The 7,435-nt window shown below is 56.5% G+C and overlaps 1 protein-coding gene across 8 annotated transcripts in view, besides 1 other annotated feature; it reads right to left on the bottom strand.

Annotated features, from left to right (window-relative positions):
• SLC27A1 (solute carrier family 27 member 1) overlaps window positions 1-7,435 on the bottom strand; it is a 37,402-nt gene that overhangs the window by 17,179 nt on the left and 12,788 nt on the right. For 6 of the 8 annotated variants that reach the window (XM_011528000.2, XM_011528003.3, XM_011528002.3 and 3 more), the window contains 4 exons: window positions 2,033-2,427; window positions 1,655-1,816; window positions 1,461-1,530; window positions 51-142 (listed from right to left, as the gene is read on the bottom strand). In XM_011528000.2, coding sequence (XP_011526302.1) covers window positions 51-142; window positions 1,461-1,530; window positions 1,655-1,816; window positions 2,033-2,427 — 719 coding nt within the window. The remainder of the gene's footprint in view (window positions 1-50; window positions 143-1,460; window positions 1,531-1,654; window positions 1,817-2,032; window positions 2,428-7,435) is intronic. The other 2 variants (XM_047438791.1, XM_047438792.1) reach the window with 1 other exon arrangement.
• Window positions 5,459-5,960: an enhancer, noted in NCBI's record as "H3K4me1 hESC enhancer chr19:17593839-17594340 (GRCh37/hg19 assembly coordinates)". NCBI's record gives its function as "activates a minimal SCP1, AML or CMV promoter by ChIP-STARR-seq in primed H9 embryonic stem cells {active_cell/tissue: H9 hESC(primed)}" and the evidence as "EXISTENCE:reporter gene assay evidence [ECO:0000049][PMID:30033119]".

Raw genomic sequence — 7,435 nt, 5'->3', positions numbered from 1 at the left:
GTAAGGGGTCCCCCGCCCCCACCCACCATTCCCTACCCAGGCCGTAGTACCTGCCGAGTGGTACAGGGGCAGGCAGTCATAGAGCACGTCAGCCGCCTGCATGCGGTAGGCGTGGTGGCCGAAGGCTGCCATGCGGTAGTACCTGCAGGGGGAGGGGGAGCCGGGAGGGCAGAGGCTGGGACCTAAATCCCCCAGGGTACAGGCATGGGGAAGCATGCTGCATGTGGACCCAGGCAAAGCCAGCCCAGTTCGCATGAGTTCACAGGCTGGCAGGAAGGAAACACGCAACCAACAATTGTTGGTGGTGTTAGGTGTCACGAGGGATATAATAGGGTCAAGGGGCATAGAGGGGCTGATGGTAATGCAGCCAGGGGGGTTGGGGGATCCTGTCTAGGGAGGTGAAGTGTGATCCGAGACCTAGCAAGAAAGAGCTGTGGGGGCGAGCTATGGAAGAGTGCCCAGGCACAGCACATGTGAGGGCCCTGAGGCCGGAAGGAGTGTATGGGTTTGAAGAGTTTGGGGGGCTGAGGAGGAGTGAGTACGGGGTGAAGGGGAGGAAAATGACATCAGGGAAGTGGCAGAAGCCACCCAAACTGAGAGAGGGTTTTTGTTTGTTATTTGTTTCTTTTTTTGAGAGGGAGTCTTGCTGTATCATCCAGGCTGGAGTGCAGTGGCGGGATCTCAGCTCACTGCAACCTCCGCCTCTGGGTTCAAGCGATTCTCCTGCCTCAGCCTCCCGAGTAGCTGGGATTACAGTCATGTGCCACCACGCCCAGCTAATTTTTGTATTTTTAGTAGAGACAGGGTTTCGCCACGTTGGCCAGGACGGTCTCGAACTCCTGACGTCAAGTGACCCGCCTGCCTCAGCCTCCCAAAGTGTTGGGGTTACAGGCGTAAGCCACCACGCCTAGCCCGAGAGAGGGTTTTATTCTGAGGGTCACGGTAGATGCAGGGAGGTCTGGGACAGGGGAGGTCTGATTTAGGATTTTCAAACCTCCTGTAGCTGCTGACAGGAGCTGGGCCATCGTGGGTGGAGGAGAGAGTGGGGGGAGCAGGAGGAGCCCGAGGAGGGGCTGGCACAGGTCCAGATGGGGGGCATGGAAAAAAGTAGACAGATGGAGAGGACGGGTTTTGCTGGTGGGATGGATGTGGTGAACAGGTGGGGGGATGAGAGGGGCCCCAGAGTAGTGGGCACAGGGCAACCGGGTCCCAAGATGGGTGTGAAAATGGGTGTGATGCCTTTGTCCAGCCCCAAGCAGTTATGAGGGTTGCAATGAGTTTACACGTGGAGGGCTTGGCCCTGGTCTGGACACAGAGCAAGTGCTCAGGAAACACCAGCTGCCCTCTCTGTCCCCAGGGTAACATGGAGATGCCCACAGGAGCTGAGGGGCAGGTCAGGCTGGCAAGATAGCCTGGGTCACTCTCAGCGGCTGAGGGCATTATGCCTGTGGGCCCCTCACCTGCTGTGCACGACAATGGCAGCCTTGGGCAGCCCGGTGGTCCCCGACGTGTAGATGTAGAAAAGACGATCTGCAGGAGATACAGGTGTTAGGGGTGGGGCCTGAGCATTGGGGGGTGGGGCCTGGAAGTTGGGGGCGGGGCCTGGGCGGGTAGGAAACCAGTTGATAGAGCAGGGGTCCCACCCTTGACTCACCGTCCATGCCCTTGCTGGGGATCTGTGCCAAGGGGGCAGTAGAGGCCTCCTTCAGCAGCGGGTCCAGGAGGTGGGTGTCCGGCAAGATGCCCTCGGGCCCCAAGTCTCCAGAGCAGAACTTGATCAAACTTTTCCCCAGATGCCCGCTCACTTCGGCCACCGCTGTGGTCCCCAACACATGGGTCATGGTCACCGCCGGACAGGCCCCCTCCCGAGGCCTGGGATGCACCAACTCCCTGCCCGGGGCATACCCAGACCGTGCACCTCATGCCCACGTCCAGGGCGGCCGCCTTCCGAGGCCTGGGGCGCAGCATCTCCCCGCCCGCCCAGGGGCCAGTCCTGGGTCCCCGCCCACCTGATGCCCACGCCTGGCCTCACCCGCCACCATTTCTCCTCCAAAGATCAGGGCCTTAGCGCCCGAGGTGCCCAGGCAGAAGGCCAGGGGCTCGCGCCGCAGGTTCACGTTGAGCAGCGCGGCCTCCATGCCCGCCTTGGCCAGGCCCAGCCACAGCCCCACGAACTCCGGCCGGCCCTCCAGGAAGATGGCCACCACGTCGCCCGGCGCGAAGCCCAGCTGGCGGAAGAGGTTGGCTACCGCATTGGAGTAGGCGTCCAGCTGCGCAAAGGTCCAGCACTCGCCGGTCCCGGCATCCACCAGCGCCAGGCGCTCGGGCTGTCGCTGCACTACCGCCTGAAAGATGCGCGGGATGGTGTGGCCGGCACGCTGGTGCCGCCGCAGCTCCAGGCGCACGCGGATCAGCACAGAGAGACCGCTGGGAGGGAGGACGGAGGGGACAGCGTCACTGGTGCCCTGCCCCGCCTGGCCTCTGGGAGCCTCAGCCTCCCCGCTGGAGGACCCCAGGGCAGCCAGGGGCTTTGATGAGGTCTATGGTGAAACTTTTGGTGGCTGGATCTCTCAGTGGACCAAGGGCAAGGGCCATTTACCAACCAGCCAGGAAGAAGGTAGATTCTCAAAGCGTAATAAACCAGTCACCCTGTCCTCCCCCATACCCCAGCTGGCTTGGTGGCCCTGGGGGAGCTGGGGCCTGAACCCATCCTCCTTTCTGTCCCCTGCGACGTCTGGAGCACCTGACACCATCCCCCAGCACCTCCAGCCTGGACTCTTCATGCTCAGACCACCCTAACCAGGACCCCCAGGGTCCAGCCCCGAGCTGGGCAGCTGTTCTGCCCCCAGGTCACTGGGTGGCACCAGGGACAGATGGCTGAAGCATCTAGCACGTGTGCCCCCAACTGGGGAGGGATTGCCCCTGCCCCAGGTAGGGCCAGGAGATGTGCCAGTGGATGGGGGGTGTAAGGACCAATGCCAAGCCCAGATGGAGGGTTCCAAGTTCCCCTTCCCCACTCGCTAGTAGATATAACGGGCAGAGGCCCCAGGGAACTGCAGAGCCCCCAGTGAAAGGAGCCGGGTTCCTGAATGATTGTGTGGAGGCAGGCGGGCCACCACTTGCTGTTAGATGAATGAGAATGAACTGTTTTTTTGTTTTTTTTTTGAGACGGAGTCTCACTCTGTCGCCCAGGCCAGAGTACAGTGGTGCAATCTCGGCTCACCCTCCGCCTCCTGGGTTTAAGCAATTCTCCTGCCTCAGCCTCCACAGTAGCTGGGATTACAGGTGCCCACCACCACACCCGACTAATTTTTGTATTTTTAGTAGAGACGGGGTTTCATCATATTGGTCAGGCTGGTCTCAAACTCCTGACCTCAGGTAATCCACCAGCCCTGGCCTCCCAAAGTATTGGAATTACAGGTGTGAGCCACCATGCCCAGCCAAGAATGAACTTTAAAAACAAACAAACAAACAAACAAACAAACAAACAAGAAATGCTTTAGGCCAGGCGTGGTGGCTCACACCTGTAATCCTAGCACTTTGGGAGGCCGAGGCGGGTGGATCATGAGGTCAGCAGATTGAGACCATCCTGGCTAACACGGTGAAACCCCGTCTCTACTAAAAATACAAAAATTAGCCAGGCGTGATGGTGGGCGCCTGTAATCCCAGCTACTCCGGAGGCTGAGGCAGGAGAATTGCTTAAACACAGCAGGCAGAGGTTGCAGTGAGCCGAGATCACGCAAATTCACTCCAGCCTGGGCCAAAGAGCAAGACTCCATCAAAAAAAAAAAAAAAAAAGGAAACAAAAAGGAAATGGAAAGGAAAGGAAAAGTTTAGATCACAGAAGCTGGAAATTCAGATTTTCTTGGTTGAGAAGCTGGAGAAATGAGTGGTCCCCACCCCTTCCTGGCTCCCTGCCCCACCACCCTGCGCCCCTGGCTCTGGGAACCAATAACCTTGTACTGGGGTAAGCCACTGGAATGTGGGGTGTGTTTGTTGTAGTACCTGGCCCTGCCCAGCCCTGACCAACACAGGGCAGGGGCTCCACCCACCTGCCCCTGTTTCAGCCTGGCCCGGCCACTGCCTCCCTCCAGCTTCTGCATCAAAATCACCAAATCCATCCTTTGGATCTCCCCTGCCTTTCCCAGGCCTCCCCAGATCCCTGCAATGGCTGCTCACACCCCCCAAAATGTTCACAGTGGACTTCAGCACCTATATTCATTCATCCTCTCGGTCATTCATTCATGCTCTTCTTCGTTCTTTCCCTCTTTCATTCCCTCCCTCATTCTCTCCTTCATTCATTCCATCATTCATTCCATCTTCATTCACTCATTCCCTACTTCACTCACTCTTTCCCTCCCTCCGTCATTCATTCTTTCCCCCCTTCACTCATTCAGTACTTTTTTTTTGAGACAGGGTCTCACTCTGTCGCCCAGACTAGAGTCCATGATCATGGCTTACTGCAGACCTCCCAGGCTCAAGCAATCCTCCCACCTCAGCCTCCCTAGTAGCTGAGACTACAGGTGCACGTCACCAGGGCCAGCAAAATTTTTGTATTTTTTGTAGAGACAGGGTTTCACCATGTTGGCCAGGCTGGTCTCGAACTACTGGACTCAGGTGGTCCTCCCTTGGCCTCCCAATGTGCTGGGATTACAGGCGTGGGCCACCGCATCTGGTCTCATTCCATCCTTATTTATTATCTCCTTCACTCTTTCATTCCCTCCTTTGTTCATTTATTACCTCTTTCATGCATTTATTCCCTCCATCATTCATTCCCTCCTTTATTCTTTCCCTCCATTTATCATTTACTCCCTCTTTCATTCATTCATTCCCTCCTTCCTTCATTCATTCAGGCAGCTGGTGCATACCAGTGTCTGTTGTGCTTTAGGCACTGTTCTCAGCTCTGGGGACAGAGCATCCAGACCACCAGGCCCCACCCTCTGGGGTTCACAGTCCTCTGGGAAGAGAGACCCCTTCCATGTATATGACTGAATACCAGGCCGTGCTGGATGGTGACAAGACTGCAAGGGGTGATGTGGTCAGTCACACGGACCAAGGGCAGAGGCAGGGGAGGCCCTTGAGAGAGGCAGGCGGCATCTGAGCAGGACCTGGTGAGGCAAAAGGGAGTCGCTGTGGGTACATCCGGAATGCAGCCAGTGCAAAGGCCCTGGGGTGGGAACAGGCCTGGGAATGGGGCACAGTTGAGGACCAGCGTGGAGGTCAGTGTGGGGGGAATTAGGGGAAAGCGACATGAAAGGGGAATGAAGTCTGAGGTGGGCAGGGGCCGGCTCCATGAGGCTCATGGGCCCCAGGAGGGGTTCACAATGAAAGCCATGGAGATAGGAGGGTGCCGGGGTCTGTTGGGGGAGAGCATCCGCAATTTCTAAAAACAAAGGTCCAGGGTTTTCATGAGACTTCCTGCATGGGTCAAACCACTTACCCTGGAAGCCCCTAGAAGGCCCCTCTGGCTACTTTTGGGATATGAGCAGGCTGCTGAACTCCTAGTGACAATACTTCCCTACCCACCATGACCCACAAGCTCACTGAGCTGAGCACAGCCCCCACACACACACCCACTCACAGAGCTCCCCCCAGCAGCCTCATTGCCTCCCTCAGGAAACCTTCCAGGCACCACATGGCCCATGCACCATGCTTACTGCTCCCCAATCACAGCTCCCTCAAAATGGGGCCGCACTTGGTCAGTGGGGCACTGGCTGGTGTCAGGGAGCTCTCTGTTCTACCCTGGGAGCCCTCCCTGTCACCTTCACTCTCCCCATCAAAGCCTTGTGCAGAGCCACCAGGTCATGGGTCTATTTCTCCCTCATTCATTCACTCATTTCACTCATTCATTCCCTCCTTTGTTCATTCATTCCCTCATTCCCTCATTCATTCATTCCCTCCTTCCCTCATTCATTCATTCCCTCCTTCACTCGTTCCCTCATTCATTCCCTCCTTCACTCATTCCCTCATTCATTCATTCCCTCCTTCACTCATTCCCTCATTCATTCATTCCCTCCATCATTCATTGGCATTGTGAGCACGCAGGAGATCTGTGCATCTGTGCATCTCTAGCATCTGTGCATCTCTAGCATCTATGCATCTGCTGGAGTATGTGCTCAGTCAATAGAGGGTGGACCAATGTTCATTTCATGCCCCTGGGTCCAGTACCTAGGGCATCTGCCCTCCCTAGCAGCCAGTTGCAGAAGCATGAACTCTGATTCTTGAAATGGTGAGCACCTACTGAGTGCAAAGCCCACACTAGCCAAGACCCTGTGGTGATACAGACCCTCCTCCCGCTCCATTCTCTCCCCACCCTTTTTTTTTTTTTTTTTTTTTTTTGAGACAGAGTCTTGCTCTGTCGTCCAGGCCAGAGTGCAGTGGTGCTATCTCGGCTCACTGAAACATTTGCCTCCTGGGTTCCAGCAATTCTCCTGCCTCAGCCTCCCAAGTAGCTGGGACTACAGGCACATGCTACCACGCCCAGCTAATTTTTGTATTTTTAGTAGAGACGGGGTTTCACCATGTTAGCCAGAATGGTCTCCATTTCTTGACCTCGTGATCCACCCGCCTCGGCCTCCCAAAGTGGTGGGATTACAGGCATGAGCCACCACACCTGGCCATTTTTGTATTTTTAGTAGAGACGGAGTTTCGTCATGTTGGCCAGGCTGGTCTCAAGCTCCTGACCTCAGGTGATCCGCCTGCCTCACCCCGGCAAAGTGCTGGGATTACAGGCGTTAGCCACTGCGCCCGGCGGGCACTTCTAGTCTTTAAACGCCACGTGCAATGTACTCATTTACCACCGTGTCCTTGGTCTGTCCCTCCCTATACTGGGTAGACAGGGCATGCATCTGTTACATTCTAGTACCAGAGAGGCAGCAGGGGAGGAGACCGCCCAAGACCCAGCTCTCCTGGAGCACAGAGAGCTTGCTACAAATAATCTCGAAGGAAGAGAGGCATCTGGGACTCTCAGATCAGGTTCCAATCCTGCAGGCCTAGGGAGAGAGCAGCCACCCGTGGCCCCAGCCCGATCTAAGGGGCCCCGGGCAGGTTCTGGCCCACCAGGTCTCCCTGCAGGGACCTGTCCTGCTGCTCTCTGGGTGGCTCATGGGCTGCTGATAAATTAACATCTCCAACTGGAGAGTTCCCTCCTTAAGGAGAGAACTTCAAAAAATGTCAATCAGCCGTGCAGGCATGCTGGCTCATGCCTGTAATCCCAGCACTTTGGAAGGAAGGCTGAGGTGGGAGGATTGCTTGAGCCCAGCAGTTCGAGACCAGCCTGGGCAACATGGTGAAACCCCAGCTCTACTAAAAATACAGAAATTAGCCAGGGTAGTGGCGCAAGCCTGTAGTCCCAACTACTCAGAAGGCTGAAGCAGGAGGATCGCTTGAGCCCAGGAAGTCAAGGCTGCAGTGAACCGAGATTGTGTCACTGCAC

This window comes from Homo sapiens, chromosome 19 (assembly GCF_000001405.40).
Source record: "Homo sapiens chromosome 19, GRCh38.p14 Primary Assembly".
Taxonomy (NCBI): domain Eukaryota; kingdom Metazoa; phylum Chordata; class Mammalia; order Primates; family Hominidae; genus Homo; species Homo sapiens.
The sequence above is the reverse complement of the archived record's forward strand: the minus strand, read 5'-3'. Positions and strand labels throughout refer to the sequence as shown.